General features: G+C 33.8%; 1 long non-coding RNA gene across 1 annotated transcript in view; it reads left to right on the top strand.

The window, feature by feature from the left end:
* Positions 1–13,494: 13,494 nt before the first annotated feature.
* LOC105374552 (uncharacterized) overlaps positions 13,495–16,890 on the top strand; it is a 71,889-nt gene continuing 68,493 nt past the window's right edge. The window contains exon 1 of the long non-coding RNA XR_001741500.1: positions 13,495–13,649. This is a non-coding gene — a long non-coding RNA (uncharacterized LOC105374552). The remainder of the gene's footprint in view (positions 13,650–16,890) is intronic.

The raw sequence follows: 16,890 nt of genomic DNA on the forward strand, positions 1-16,890 counted from the left end.
TCACACTGTACCTATTCTTAAATTGCATCGTTTGCTTCTCCCATTGTTACTTGCATTTTATGCAGACTCTTACTTGTGCCAGTTAGCTACAAATTTGGGATTATAGTCAGTCCACTGCTCCTCCAGATAAATCTGAGGCAAAATCTACTGCATTAGCTCTAATAGAGTCCTTTGCAAGCTTGACCTAACCTGGTCAGGATCTGTTCTGATTGAATTGTAAAGCCTGTTATGTCTCTTGCTGTACATTTCTCTTGCTGCTAAAGTCTTCATGTTTAGTCGGATATACTAATTCTTCCAAGATCCTGGCCATCTCAGCCCTACCATCGGTCTACCCTTTGAGGTGTTTGGGATTTAACAAAAATGAACTACTTCTCTTGCCCATGTGAGTAAATGTTTTATGTAGTTGAAGAATTCGATGTGGGCAAAGGCCATCTATTTTGTTGTTGTTGTTCAGCAGTATATATTTTGTACATAGCAGGTACTTGTGCTCAATTAATGTTAGCTTAATTAATTTATTTATGTCTTTAACACTTAGGGTCTTGCCAGACTTTAGAAGGGATAAAAATAATTCATGTTTATATGTTTAAAAGGAGAAAACCCACTTGAATTGGTTACTAACCAGATATTTTACTCCAAACTGTACACAAGGTATCGACTTTTAATTTTGTTCATATTGTTAAAAATAAGAATCCTACTTGCTGCCATGTTTGTCATAAGGCAAACATCCTACAGGAATTTCCATTTACTTCTTTACTTGTAAGAAGCGTAGGAATATGAAAGCTATATTTTATTATTTCAGGTAGAACCCTGGCAAGACATTCTACAAGCTTTCCTACAGTACTCATTTTTCCATTAATCTCAATTTTACTGAGACAGATTCCATTGTATTGGAAACTCTCTAAGGAATTTGAAGTCTGGGTCAATTCTCTGTTATATACTTGAGTGCAGTATATGACATTATATAGTCCTACTGTCCAAGGAGCTCAAAGCATTTGATAAATATCATCCTGTTGATCGTATTCACTTTCCTGAACAGTACCTGGCAAGCATTGGTATCACCATTTAGCAGTGAGATGAAGCTATGAGAACTAAAATGCAGAGGGATTTGAAAGACCAGTAAGAAGGACAAAAATACCTCAGTCACACAGTTTAGGTAAAAGCTTTCCTGAGTCCCTGAAATATACCTTTTCTCTCAATTATATTATTTCTTTAGCTCTAATTCTTAAAGACTCAGTTCTTTTGAAACTTACTTATTTTGATTTTTTAAAAATATAAACCTTTAAGTAAAGTTTTTTATTACAAGTCTGGAAAATATATCATTATTCCTCTTGACATACAACTTCTCTGTGAAATTCATCTAGTTTTGCCCTTTCTTCTTATGATTCATTAAGAATCACAGTAATGTCACTTAAAATAACTTGAGAAATCATTGCATCAACTCCTGATGCTACTGAAAAGAAAGGCAAAGTCCAAGGTAAGTATAAGATTTGCCCACAGTCACATTGTTTGATAAAAGCAGGGAAAATGCTGGATTCAAGGCTTTCTGCCTTGAATGACTGTATTACTATAAAATACTCCAGAAACAGGAGGAAGGAATTATATTTAAAGGCCATCATCAGCTATAGGGCAGGGGAAAGATATTTCTGACTACCTCTTTTTTTTCCAGTGTGGGTTTTGTTGTTGCTATTATGTTCTTTTTCCACCTTTGTGTTCTTATTATCTAGCATAAGTCTTGAATGAATGAATGATACATTATTCTTATGACAAAGGATGCTAATGTAGATATATTAACATCATTAATGGCTTCAGACATCTTAAAATAGACACTATATGACTGCAGTTTAGGTTATTCAAAACTACTTTAATTATTGCAAAATGTTTCATTGAAATATGCTATCTCTTAACTTATTGGTATTATCTCAATCAATCATGGGTCATTCCATGGAATTAATAGGGGAATACTTAAGACTTTAGCAGAGCAAATAATGCTTTAACTACCTTATCCAAATGTCTTAATACAGATAAAAGCAGATTATGAAATGCATCTGTAGCATCTTTGAAGATTTTTAAATAATAATAGGCATAGAATAATGAGTGGTTTTTTTTGTTTTCACCAATATTATGTTTAATCAATTCCTTACTACCCAAGGGACAGATGATTCAAAGAACTTTTTCTGTATATTGCCATTGAAACTGAGAGTACAGATCATTGATATTCTTGTGAATGACACAAACATTGCCAAATTCCTGACGGTAGATAGAACCTAATGTTAAAACAATGACATGAACATGCCTATTTCAATAATTCTTACAGCACCATTCACAATTTCCTTATCTCTTTTTATTTTTAAAAATATTTAATTACTTGAAGGATAAGGGAGGGTCTCTTCCAAAAATGTCAATACCTGTGAGCTTAACATGATAGAAAATAGTCATGTGAGTATATGTATTGATGGTACTAAATCTAGTTAGGTAACAAATATTTTTGAGGTAGTAGATCCAGTGAGTTAATAAGTCTAATACATTTCACCTTTACCTTCATTTGTATTGTGCCACTTTAAGCTGTTACATCTAGGCTCAACTTTTGGAACAGGCTTGTTTATATTTCTGCTTATGTTCTCTCACTTTATCACACAATTCTCTATATAGTGGTTAAATAATTTTTCTCCAATACAAATAAAAACATGTCATTTTCATGCTTAACATTTTTAGTAGCATTCCTGTTGTTAAATGATTTTTAACATGGATATGGGATAAAATGACTGCCCATCACCACATATGGTTAAAATTAATACCAAATATTTTATCATGGTATGAAATTACACTTTCATCTGTCCTCTGCCTCACACTCAGCCTCTACTCTCACCACTCTACTTCATATGTTTTTCTCCAGAATTAAAAACATCTTTACAGTTCTCTAAAAACAAAAATCACATTGTCTATGTCTCCCTACTAGAAAATTCTCTCTGCTTGGAATGTTCTTTCCAGTAATGTCTAGTGGGATGAATTATCCATTTTCCCCTCAAGCACTGTGACTCAGTGAAGGCTTTATCTACCTCTGAGGCTTCAATACTTTCATCAGATATGCACTTTAAAAATTTTTTCCTGTTTATTTAGTAAGAATTCAGAAAAGGCTGATTATGTACTTTAATTGCTGTGCTTGCACACCATGCTGAAGTTGTTTGTATACATAACATTCTCCTTCATTAGCATATGAGATTCTGGAAGAGAATCTGTCTCATATCAACTTCTGACATTCTGGGACATAGCTCAGTGCTTGGCAACTAAAAGGATCCTCAGATATAGATACTAAGTAAACCAAATTAATACATGTCGAATATGTGAAATTAGTACGTATGACAAGAATTTCATGGACATGGTAATTTCAATTTAAAGACATTTCTAGATGTGGTGATTGTTAGGTTTTGAAGGGAAGGCAAGGGTTAAAGAAAGATACAAAGAAAAGGAGAGAGAGAGAGAGAGAGTTGCTCAACAGCAATTGCAGGCGTTTATGTCCAGCATACACCTACAGAGGTGGGGGCCAGCTTAAAGCCAATGCCTACCGCTGCTTACAGGCTGGTGTGCTTAATGGGTATGAGCAAGAGGGGTCTGGGCAGTATGTCTTGCTGCACGGCAGGATATTGATAAGATGTCCCTATGATCAGGCAGTTTGGCCCTTTTTTTGGTGGGATGTGATAGGATGTTCTTTGAATCTTTGCCCAACAGGATATGATAGGGACATTCCTTTGGTTGGACCATTGCCCAGCAGAGTATGATGAGAAAGTCAGCTGGTTGGGCAGGATATTTCTGATGGCCCAAAAACCCATGGAATGTTTCACTTTGACCAAGGTCTGCGAAATGGTGGGGGGCTTACAAAATGGTAAAGTTCGGACTAACAGTAATAAGGGTTTACTGTCATTTTATTATTAAATCAAAATAAATGCAAAGTTCACAATTCACTAGGAAATGCCTTCATAGTGGATTGTTGCTGCTGAGTGATCCCTAACCAGTGATGGATTATGCAAATCTCAAATGAGGCTTTGCCCTGGGTCTTAGAGGAATTAGATACTTTTTACACTATGCTATAAATGCCTACCTTCATTTTATGTTTCCAGAGGGCATTTGTGTAAAACCTGCTGGTTAGTTGCCCTTACCAAAAGATGAATATGTATGTATGTGTGTGTGTATATATATATTGGAGCCTGGATTGTATTCAAACATGATAAATGAAAAAAGCAACTTTCTTTTATTACTATTTTTGTCAGTATCAATAAATTTTCTAACTACTGTCATACATTCTAATTTAAAAGCACGTGTTCCTCCCGAAGAGCAGAACTGAAAACAAAAGGCAAGCTTTAAATGTAGACAGGTTTACTCTTAGAATTACTGCTGAGTATATAGAAAAATGAAATGCCTTTAAAAAGTTCAGCAAATGTCTGATAAGAAATAAAGAGGTCAGAAAATAGTTTCTCCTGATAAGCTTACATTTTCTACATATTTCATAGGGAAATAAATTCCCTGGATATTTTTAAAAAATAACCAACATGCATTACTCAAAATTAGTTTCCCATAATTGGTGACTCTTCAAAATGTAACTGATGGGCTTCCCTATTACTGAATAAAATTAGCAAAATCCCTAAAATAAAAACTGCAAAAAGAAAAATGATGATCTCTTCCTATCCCCATCTCTGTCTCTCTCTCTTCATATATACAGATGGGTGTCAGTGTGTGTGTGTGTTTGTGTGTGTGTGTGTGTGTGTGTGAGAGAGAGAGAGAGAGAGAAGAGATAATATTTTTGAAGATGGGCTTGCGTGGAAGCTAGCTTGCAAAATTCAGATTCTTCTAATATTGTCTTTGCTGTGAAAGAAGATGGAAAACACATGAGTATCTTACATTCTTGCAAGGAAGATATAAATTTGACACTTCATGTCTCTTTCTGTTTTCAGAGACTTATCTGGAAAGGAATGGAAGATGTGTGCATAAGAGATGATGGATTGAGTTATTGTATGTAAAATGTCACATTTAGGTTCCTCTAGGCTCAAGTACAGGTTTCTGTTACACATGTATGTTCTGTTTTCCTATATCTTCGAAACACACTTATTGAGTCATTTCTATGGACCAGACACTGTTGAAACAAATATGAGTAAAAATCAGCTTCATCGAAAACAACCTCTTAGTTTATTGGAGGAGAGAATGAGTACCTTATACACTTGAAGTGTTATAGTGAAAATTTGAACAAGTTCACATTGGAACACAGAAAAAAGGTACCTAATGATGCTCAAATGCTGTAATCAAGAGAAGAGGATCAAAAAACTGATGTTGGGTGCTTGATTTAGGCTACTGAAGCAATGGAACACCATTGTAGAAAGAGTCAATGTAGTATGCAAAGAGATGGAATAGAGTAAGAGTTGCATATTCAGAAAAATACTCTTTTATTTGAAGTGACAGAAGACTCTGATATCTTTAGGATGATGGTAGAAGGCAGAACTAGAATTAAAGACAATTAGGTAAAGATAGTTCCTTGGATAGACAGCATGGGAGGAACTGTGAAGAATAATGACTGAAACAGTCATGAGACAGGGGCCTGGACATGGAAGACTGTGTGTGCCATGATAAATTACTTCAGATTATCCTGTAGGTGCACACAACCATGAAAAATAATTAGCAAAGGAATAACATAATCAGGTTAATATTTTGGCTGTATTATTCAAATAACCATACTGAGATTGGACTAACAGAGAATATCAGAATTATGAAACCAATTTGGAAGCTACTGCACTGGTTGCAGCAGGAGAATATGAGGATTTGGATTAAAGAAGTGAGAGTGACAATAAATAAAAAAGGGTTAATTTGACATGCATGTAGAAATTCATTGTACATAGAACTCAATGCATGTATGCAGGGAGTAGGTGAAGAGAAAGGAGTTGTATCTACTTTTTTTTGTTTTTATTTTAGTAACTGGGTAGAAGATGTGGTAGAAAGTGTAGTAGAGATAGTAAGTTTAAGATAATTATCAATGCTCTCAGTGCTGCCATTTCTGAGTCTATAGAACTGTTATTTAGGTTAGAGTGTTGTCCATTAGTACATATTTGTAAGTATTAAGCATATTTATTAACACTAAAGAGGTACTTACATTGATCCAGAAGAGGGTTTAGAACAGTTAATTAATTTTTTATTATTGTTGCAAATAACAGCTTTGAGAATCAAATAAATCTATGACTCTTACATCCAAAATTTTGCATTCAATATCAGGAGAGTCACATACTTCTGAGAATATTTGTTGGCCCTAGGTTAAGAATCTCTTGAGTTTCACGAAGAAAGAGGAGAAACATTAATGAAGCTCTTAGGGTACTACTCAGTAAGCCATTAAAAACATTGATTTTAGTGTTGGCTGTAAATGTTTTCTGTGATAAGTTCATCTCTGTTGGATATTTCTTTTAAGGAATAAATCAATCATTAACGTCATGAATTAATGAATTAGTCTATATATCCTAATCTCTCAATGTATAAAATATAACTTTTTAAAGAGAAAACCATGAAAAATTATTCTCTAAGTCAGGAGATTGTTTTTATTTTGTCACAAATTATAAGATCTTCAAGAAAATTTAGAGTGTTACTTGCCTGAAGCCTAAACTACATTTTTAAAAAGTTCATATAAATAATACTACTATTTGATGCTTAATTAAGCCTTTTGGCATGACCACTGCCAAGCTCCATGCCAATATAAAACAATTTATTCCCAAGCTAAAAATAGCTCTGACTAAATTGAAATTGACAGACAATGAACCAGTGGTTAGGCAAGTTTATTGAATACCATGCCCCAATTTTGTTAATGAAGGTATACATCATGCACCAGTTGGTACATTATTTGTTAAGCCAGGAATGATGCCAATTTATATAGCCTGTGCCAAGATCTATAATTTAGTCACTAAAGAGCCGACACATGCTGGAGACATCATAATGTGGGGAATCCTGAGCCTTGGAATAGAACTGGTCCAAGAAGAATGCCCACCAGTTTCTGAGTTTTCTCATCCCCTTCACCCCCTTTAATTAGACCATCGAAGTCTAATTATCTTAATTAAAATAACATTTCCAAAATACCACATATTGAACACACACTAGGCAAGGGACAAGATAGGAACTGGGAGTAGAAATCACTAGGTTAAATTCTTCCTACTATTTGGTTTATTTAAAACTGAGAGTTGTCTCTTTCCATAGTTACATTTTTCTTTTTTTTGATAAAATATCTCTGCCAATTAAAATGCAAAGATCAATAAGTAAGAGAAGACATGATTAACAGTAAAAAAAAAAAAAAAGCACTTTTAATTTTACATAGTAAAAGTCCAGAGGAAGGTAGTTTCAAAGATAGTTCAAGAGCTCAAAGACATCATCAAGCTGGGGGTTCTCACATTACTGCTGTACCATATTCATTATGTTGATTTCCCTTTCTTAGATTACTTGTCCCCCGATCAAAGGATGGCTATACCAGATCCAGGAGTGGTCATGAGTTTCAAAAGTAGGAGGCACTAACACCTGTTTCAAATCAAATATTCTTGACATGAATAAAATATAACATTTTAAACTAATTTTAATTAAGCTTAAAAGTACATACTTTTCATAGCATTTATTGCTCTGTTATATTTTAATCCAATTCATGCATTCAATTATATGATACAGTATGAGCTGAAGCAATAATTTATAGATCTACATCATTATTTTTAATTGGGGAGCATTCATCGAGCAGAAAGAGAATATTCACATGTACAGGCAAGCAACCCACAGCATATGCAAATTCAAGCTAAAAAACACTGGGACATGTAGCTGCTTAATACATACTTATTCTGAAAATAATGTAATACGTACTTAAGCTTGATTTCTTTGCTTTTACTTCTAGGGACTTTAGTGGGGATATTTACACTTAACCTACCATTTGTGTTCAAGGACCCTTTGGGTATTTTGTGTTATTCTCAGACATAACATTATGCTACTTTATCATCACTACAAATGTTCATTTATTATTTGTGATAAAAATCAGTACAATTTGAATAAAAATTTCACTCATACTACTTAATCATCCTATTCCTAGTAAGATTTAGTAAGTCCATCTAATGTTAGTTGCTGTAAACGTTAATCATAAATCTCATATCATATTATTACACAAAGGAGAATAAAGCTTGCCAGTCACATTTACATAGACAAGAAGAACTGATACAAATTTTTTAATTACTGAGAAAAAAATGATTTGATATAGAAGCTTAATCCAGAAAGGGGGAGTGATCATTGTTTTAAGCTATATAATCAATAGCTTTGAACTGTTCTAGTTAGGTGAATTTGGGGAAGTTACTTAAGTTTTCTATGCCCCAACTTTCCTGTCAGATAATGGGGAATATATCCTAATAATATTTTTGTAATTATTAGAGGAGTTAATAGTCATGAAATGCTGAGAACAGAAGCTGGAACTGGGCAGGCCTATGGCAACTCTTAGGCATTACTCACTGGCTCTTTAGCCATATCATTTTGCTATTAGGGGTAAGAAGACCTTGGTCTTGCATACATTTTTTTTCGATCCCAGGTCCAATATGTGTAAAATGTGAATAATAATTCCTGCGCTTTCCACTCCAGTGAGTTGTGTTGAAAAGCAAATACAATAATGGATCCTGGAGTCAAGTGTCATCAAAAGAGTAGCTTTATAGCAAGACAGAGCTGGTGCCAAATCCTTGTTATGGGATTATTTCTTCACGGAGCATCTTGAACGAGATTGTTAACATACAAATCTAATCTTACCATTTTGCCTACAAAACCTTTTAATTTCCTTTACATTACCCTTGGAATGAAATCAATAATTCTCTAATTGATAGGTAAAGCCCATATAATGTGACCCCTTTCAATATTTTATTACATGTCATGCCATTTCCTATCACCTGCTAGATTCCAGCCCCACCCACTGCCTTTCTTTGATTTCCTTCTCCTTGCCAGAAATGTCTCCACATTGAGGTTTTTACACTAGTTTCCTCACTTGAATTGTAATTTTTCTTCCATATAGTTCAGCTTTTTGACTTTTATTTACATACAAGATCTCTTCTCAATTGTCACTTTCTCATTCGTTCTTTAATCTCCTAAATTGAATTACTGTTTTGATTTCTCATAATACAATTTATTTTGCTTCATAATATATCACAGTATGTAATTCTGTATTGTTTGAATGAATATTTGCTTGTCACTCTCTTCTGCTCACTCACCATGCTCGTTTAGACAGCAGGTCTATCCCCAGGTTCCAACAAATAATAGACTCCTGATAAATAGTATAGTACTGAAAGAATTTGCATTATCCCTTGAACCTTATTGTCCTCATTGGAAAAGATAAATATTAGTAATACTTACCTTGAAAACAATGTGTTTTTATATTGAGGATAATGTGTGTGCAATACATTTCCTTTAAGCTATCAAAAAATAAATATTATTAAGAAGCAATTGTATAAGATACAACGCATTTTAAAATAATGTGGTTCTTTGTTGTTGCTGCTGTTGTTCTTTTGAAATGAGTGAGATCAACAAAGGAAACAGAAACATGACTATTCCCCCATGGTACAAATTTAAAATAGATTTTATTGCGGTGGGGGTGAATTTACAAGCAGTGATGTCATAGCATGCATATGATCCCGTAAGTTATTATTGACACAAAGAGGGGTGCTCAGGCCACACTGGATACAACATGGAGAGAGTTTTAGTTGTGAATAAAATTCTACATATTCATGGGAGGTCAGGGATAATCTAGGCAACCATGCATCACCAGGAGCTCTTTGGTGAAGGAAGTGGCCTTGTTAGAATGAGGAACCTTCAGAGCCCAGTGGCTGGTATCAATCTCTTTTTCTTTTGAGTTAATTCAGTTGAGCTAGTTTTTGCAAAGTGTGATGGTTAATATTAGGTGTCAACTGGGTTGGATTGAAGGATGCCTAGATGGCTGGTAAAGTATTGTTTCTGAGAGTGTGAGGATGTTGCCAGAGGAGACTGATATTTGAGTCAGTGGACAAGCAGAGGAAGACCCACACTCAATGTGTGTGGGCACTATCCAATCAGCATAAGAAGGTGGGATAACCTTGCTTGCTGAGTCTTCTGGCTGGCTCCTTCTTCCCATGCTGGATGCTTCCCTCCACTCCTCTTGCCCTTTTACATTAGACTCCAGGTTCTTAGGCTTTTGGACTCTGGGACTTGCACCAGTGGTTTCCTGGGAACTCTTGGGCCTTTGGCCACAGACTGATGGCTGGACTGTTGGCTTCCCTGGTTTGAGGCTATCAGACTCAAACTGAGCCCCTACCAGCTTCTCTCTTCCCCAGCTTGCAGTCGCCCTATTACAGGACTTCACCTTGTGATCCTGTGAGTCAATTCTGCCTAATAAAGATATCTGCATCTAGCCTACCTGTTCTGTCCCTCTGGAAAACCCTGAAGAATGCACAAAGCTACCAAAGGTGAGGAGAAAATCAACTATCAGTGGCCTTCAGGTTTGACTCTCATCATTGAGAAAATAATTCCGAATTCTCTGTGGCTAAGATTCTGGATTATTATTCGTGGTGTTGAACATATCTTCAGTGCTTCCCCTTTGTCTCTACTACCTGGTCATCCAGAGATCTTTCTGCAAATCACTTTGTTTTATTTTATTTCTTTTTTCCATTTCTAATATCAAATGCCATATTTAGCCTGAGAAAGGTGATGCTCAATAAATGTTTACTCAATAAAACAATTACGACTCATTCAGGGAGGAAGTAAATTCTAATGATTGCATTCTGGAGTGAGTGGGACAGCTCGGAGTTCTGATGCCAGCCATGTGTTTTCTGGCTGTTTGGCCGTGGACAATTAAGTTTCATTTTCTTCACTGAAAAGCATCATAATGGTACCCAATTCTTAGAATGGAAGGGGAAATCAATAGAAAAATAGATTTTCTTAAATGCCTAATCATATTCCTGGCATATAAGTAAAAATAAATTAAAGCCCTCACTGTTAGAATTTACTCTTCTATTAACAATTCTTAGTTATTAGTCTAGTTGAAAGATGTGTGTATGGTTTGAGATATGAGAGAGATGGTGTGTGGCAAAGATAAAGGGGTTCTGGGAATGTTGACGAGGAAGGGGAGCACATTGGAAAGGAAAGAATAGAGAGAGCCCAGACACTGAGACTACAAGGACAGAATTTTTGGAATTGACTCAGTAATTAGTACTGTGGACTCTGAAAATATGTCACCAAACAGATGTGCTTTGTATTTAATAAGCCAGAAATATCTCTTCTCTGCTATTAACGCCAAGTTACTCTGGTGGAAAGATTGTGAAATTGGATGATTTTTATTAACTTTACACACAAATCCTGATTACGTTTCTCAGATCTTTTTACCAATTCCTTCCTCTCCTGGATGTGTGCTAAGAAAATGTTTATTGCTTATGTTAAACTTATAAAAAAAAGGAACAGCTACCCATTTTGTCCCCATAGCCCTAAGTGATAAGTAAAGCAGTTTAGTCACACAGGTCTATAGTTTTCCAGTCTCATAATTATTTTACCTGTGTCAGTATTCCTTGTTTTTGTATTACAGTGGTTAAAAACATAGTTTCTGGAGTTAGTCACCTTTTGGGCTATTAAGCAAAGCCTGACCTCTCTAAACATGAGTTCACTCCTTAGTAAAATATGAATGATAAAAGCATGATCACATTGGTTTGCAGTGAGGCTCAAACTAGATAATGTCTGCGAAGAGACTGGCACTCAGTACATAAATAATTTTGGCTTTATGATTATCACTAGAGTAACAACTGTGAAATTCTTTCATATTTACCATTTGATTGATTGTTAAGAAAATACTCTGAAGTAAATGTAACTCATATTACTTATGGAAATATGAGTTATATGTTTATAGAAAAAGAAACTGAGGCTTATGAAAATTTATCTTACTCTTACCCTTGTTTGCAGTAGATGGCAGAACTGAGAATTGACCAGGCATAAATATCAAGAATCTATGCTTTTTCTACTTTAATATCAAGTGTATGTGTATGTGTGCACATGCGCATGTGTGTTTTACATGCTTTATACACCTGAAACATTGAGTTAGTCATTGGCAAGTCTGTTAGTGGAAAGTATGAAGTACAACGTGTTAATAATTTGGTTCGGTTCCATTAACCTTTATTGAGCATCTAGTGTAAGCAATGGAAGAAATATCTGAATAATAAAATCTTTGCCCAAAAAATTCGTGCTCTATGTTGGGAGACAATCATTTATAACCTAGACTGATAAGCACAATATGAGTACACCAGACAAACTGGCAAATAGAAACAAGATGTTGACTCTGCCAGGGATGGGGTAAGATGAAATGAATGATTTCCGAGAACAGTTATGGAGAAGGTGACCTGAGGCAATGTTTTAAAGACTGGGCAGAGTTTCTTACATGAGAGGTCATCCAAGAAAATGAGAAATATTGCTAAGAAATAGAAGTGAAAGGAACATTAATTTGAAAACATTAAGAAACTCAGTATCACCAGAATTGATACTTAAGCATTTGGCAGGATGGTAAGAAGGAGTTAGGTAAGTATGAGACCAAAATATACAAAGATTTTTTTTTTTTTTTTTTTACCGAAATGCAACTAAGATCTACTAAGAAATTCTGGATATTCCCAGTGGAGAAGGGATACATTTTCTCCTCTCTGCCTCAGAAATTATCAAATTAGAAATCCTGATTATAATCTCAAGGCACTAGGTCGCTGATGTTGGGTAATTCCAGGAGCAGAAGGTCAGAGATCATGCCTTATGATCAGAAAGTCTGTCTCTTTGATTTACTACACAAGGATAATCCACCTTGTTTTACTTCTTCAGGATCATTTAGGGAACTAATGGTGCAATGTCAGGCATATAGATGTGGTTGATAGAAAAACACGCAACTGGTTAGTGAGCTCTCACAGAGACAGTTAAATGGAATGTTTATGATTTCATTTGTAACTAGCACAATCTTGGGAGTTAGTGAAATCCCTTTCAGAGCCCCAATTTAATCAAAGTCATCTAATTAAAAACCTACTAAAAAAGTACTTTTCAAAAAGTTTTAACTACTTTCCCAGTTGACTTAAAATGAAGAGAAAATAGCTTTTATTGTGACAAAATCTAATAAGAAGTCAGTTATATTTCAGTTTATTGAGAAAATTAAACATATAGGCAACTTGAAATTACAAGCTTATAACCATACTGAAACTAATTATCAATCAATATTTCATAACAGCCCTTCAAATTAAGCAATGTTAAGACTCAGAGACTCAGTCGCTTGGGATTTTGAATTTGATAGAGTCCTTTTTGGATCATAAAAATTTCACTTCTATACCTACAAGGACTTCACATATACATCTGCTCTTACATACTGCTTACTGAATATATCTGACTTCTTCAGTAGATAATTCTGAGACAAAGCATCCCTTGTCTGACAAACAGTGCTACAACTCTATTCATTAATACTTTTTTATGTTTACAAAGGGATTACCGGCATGACAATAAGGCTCATTATTTTCAGAAGCTTGTAACTATGCAGGAGAATTTATATGTACTTCTGTGTGATGAAGAATTGGATGCAGTCTCTTTGGAAGCTGTGCACCAACAAAAGATGAAGAATAGACAAGCCCACTCTTCATCAGGTAACAAATCTGGCATCTGATCACAATTGATGGCTGGTTTATCATCTACAAGGAACCATGCCAATATTGTGTTAAAAGTTTTAACAAAATTAACTGAAAATCGCTCTCAATATGTATTTTTTTCATAATACTGAGCATATACAGTTTATTCAGAGCCATACAAAATGAAATTGTTGCATGGAGACAGGGATATGCTCTAAGACCATTTTTGCTCCATGGCAAGTTTCTGGAAAATGGTTGAGACTACAATCACATTGTACATTTGATTGATTTGGAAATCTTCCCTGGAAATAACAATCATTTAATGAAAAATAATAATGCCTGTAGAGGAACTTATTTTATAAGTCTTACCTCTCATGCTTTTTGCCTGATCATCAAACCATTCTTTTACCAGACTCTACAATTAGGCATGTGCTGTATTGATGGACAGTCTGTACAGTACATGAACACAGTAGATGTAAACACTGTGCTTGGGGGCTCATCTACTATGTCATATGACATGAATAAAAGCATTTAATGGGCATTGAGAATGTTTTTTCCTGTCTTCAGTTTTCAGCATATCTCCCAAGTCTCATTTCAGCTTACCTACCTGGATTCCTGCTTCAGTTTTTGGGCTCTGAGAATTTCTCACTCTTTCTCGTTTTTTGTTTTTGTTTTTTGTTTGTTTGTTTGTTTTCTCTTCATTCTAGCCATGCATTTAAAAAATGACATAAACATTTTATACAGAATCCTTATGTATTTTGTAGTTTATTTTGTTGCTGTGGGATTTTTACAGGGTATATAATTTCCACGTTTTCATGAATTAAATCATCACCTACTTTTAGCATATGAATAAAACTTTAGGGCTCAAAATGCAATTATAGCACTTTTTAATCATAACATAGATTTGAACATATGCATTTAAATATTATAAGCTCATATGTAAACTACCAAGATAGTTTAAAAAGTAAGCACAGTATAACACTGAAATCAATATCATCAATATCATAATATAATTTATATTGCTTTTACCTAACATACTGAACTGATAATTATTAGAAGAAATTTGCCTTTTAAATTCTCAAAAGACTGTGAGAGAGAAAAAAAATCATTTTAATGAAACATACAAAGCACGTTCATTATAAAACACAAGTGAAAAGCAATGTATTTTTGGGAAGATTTAAAATGAGACAGAAAACAGAGATAGAAAAAGAAACGTGCTTAGGCCTCATGCATGAGGTTTTTCCTTAAGATTTAAGTTTTACTTAAGATATTAGAAATATTTTCTCAAAAATTACTACACCATCAATCAACGTAATGCATCTGATTAACAGTTTGATTTTTAAAAATCATATGACCTTTTCATTAAATTTTTAAATAAACTTCAATAATAATTCATGATGAAAATATTAGCAAATTGGGATTAGGAAGAAAATTTTATTTGGAAAAGTACGTATTTTTAAAAACTACAACCAAAACCACACTTGATTTTGGAATACTGAAAAGTTTTTCTTTAAATTCACTACTAAGAAAAATTTGTTCCATATGCCTATTTCTGTTTTTCTTTGAACTGGAAACCCTGAACATCTCATTAAGGCAACAGAAGTAAATAAATTTGTAGAGATTAATACAAAACAATAAATGTTACTATAATTTTAGATGATACTATTGTGTATGGAAAATTTAAAAACAATCAATAGATACTACTAATTTTATAAGAGTTTTACAAGAGTGCTGAATACAAAACAATTACAGAAAAATAAGTTGGACCAACCAAAAATCTTAGTCAAAATTTTAAAGAAATAATGTATATATCATAAAAAGCAAAAAATATATATGTAAATATATGATAAGTGGAAATTGTTAATAATTGTCCAGCTTGAAATGCATTGCAGAATTGAATTAATCTATTGATATACAACATATGGATAGAAAAATTCAATATTATAAAAACATCAAGTCCCTTTAAATTGATTTATAGTTTTAATTTAATCCCAATAAATACCACACATATTTTAGGGGAAAGCTAATTCTAAAATTTATGTGAAATTAATTGAGAAGGGTCAATCATTGCCAAGATACTCATTTAAGGAAAGACTATCGATAGACGACTTGATCAATGAAATATCATTATTTATTATAAAACTATATAAATTCTGACAAAGTAGCACCAATAGGTGCAGGAACAGACAATAGAGAACCTGAAAATTAACCACATCTATACAGATGCTTAGCGTATAAAATGAATCACTGAAATCAGAAATCAGAATCTTTTCAATAATTGTTGGTACAATGATTAGGCATCCAGAAAGGGAAACAAAAGAAATTTGATTCCCACTCAAATTCATTCCAAGGGGACTAAACACCTAATAAAGTTTTAGAAGATCGAGTATGAGAGTATCTTTGTGACCTCAAGCTGAGTGAAGTTTTCTGAAAACCCAAATATGCTACCAAAGAAGGATGGGATTAATAAACTCAACTACATTAAAATTGAGAATATCAGCTTACAAAAGATTTCATATGTTTATTTTTTTAAGGGCAACCATCTTGGAGAACATGTTTCTAATATCAATCAATAGGAAATATCCAGAACATCCAAACAAAAACATTGGACAAACTAAATATTTACTTCACAAAGGGATGTATGCTAATGGCCAATTCATGCATGTAAAGATGTCAAACTCATTGCTAGTTGCAGAAATGCACCTTACATGACAATTGTTTACCACTTTAAACATCCAAAATAGTAGCAAGAATAAAATACTGTATTTGTAAATACTTTGTGCTGGCAAATAGAAGATAAGGAAACTCTCTTCTCTCCCATCTATCACTGATGAGGAAAACAATTAATTCAAGCACTTTGAGAAATAGATAAGCATTATCCAGTGAAATTGAAAACATGAATACTGTATTAGTCATAAGTTAGGGTCCTGGATATATGCTGGAGAGAAAGCTGTGTTCATGTATGAAAATGGTACATGGTAGCAGTCTTAATAAAAGTAATAAAAAAGGAAACAAAAATATTTTGATAGCAAAACAGGGAAATAAATTATCATATATTAATACAAATGAATACTACCTATCATTGAAAATGAATGAAATGTATCTATCAATACATATTGATGTTAATCTCTAAAACATTTGAAGAACAATGGTGATCACCAAAGAATACACAGTCAGATTCCAATATACCTCACTAAAGATTTTATTTATATGAGTACATATTTTTAGGTGAAAATAAAGACAACAAAGTAAATTATAA

Source organism: Homo sapiens, chromosome 4, assembly GCF_000001405.40.
Source record: "Homo sapiens chromosome 4, GRCh38.p14 Primary Assembly".
Classification (NCBI taxonomy): Eukaryota; Metazoa; Chordata; class Mammalia; order Primates; family Hominidae; genus Homo; species Homo sapiens.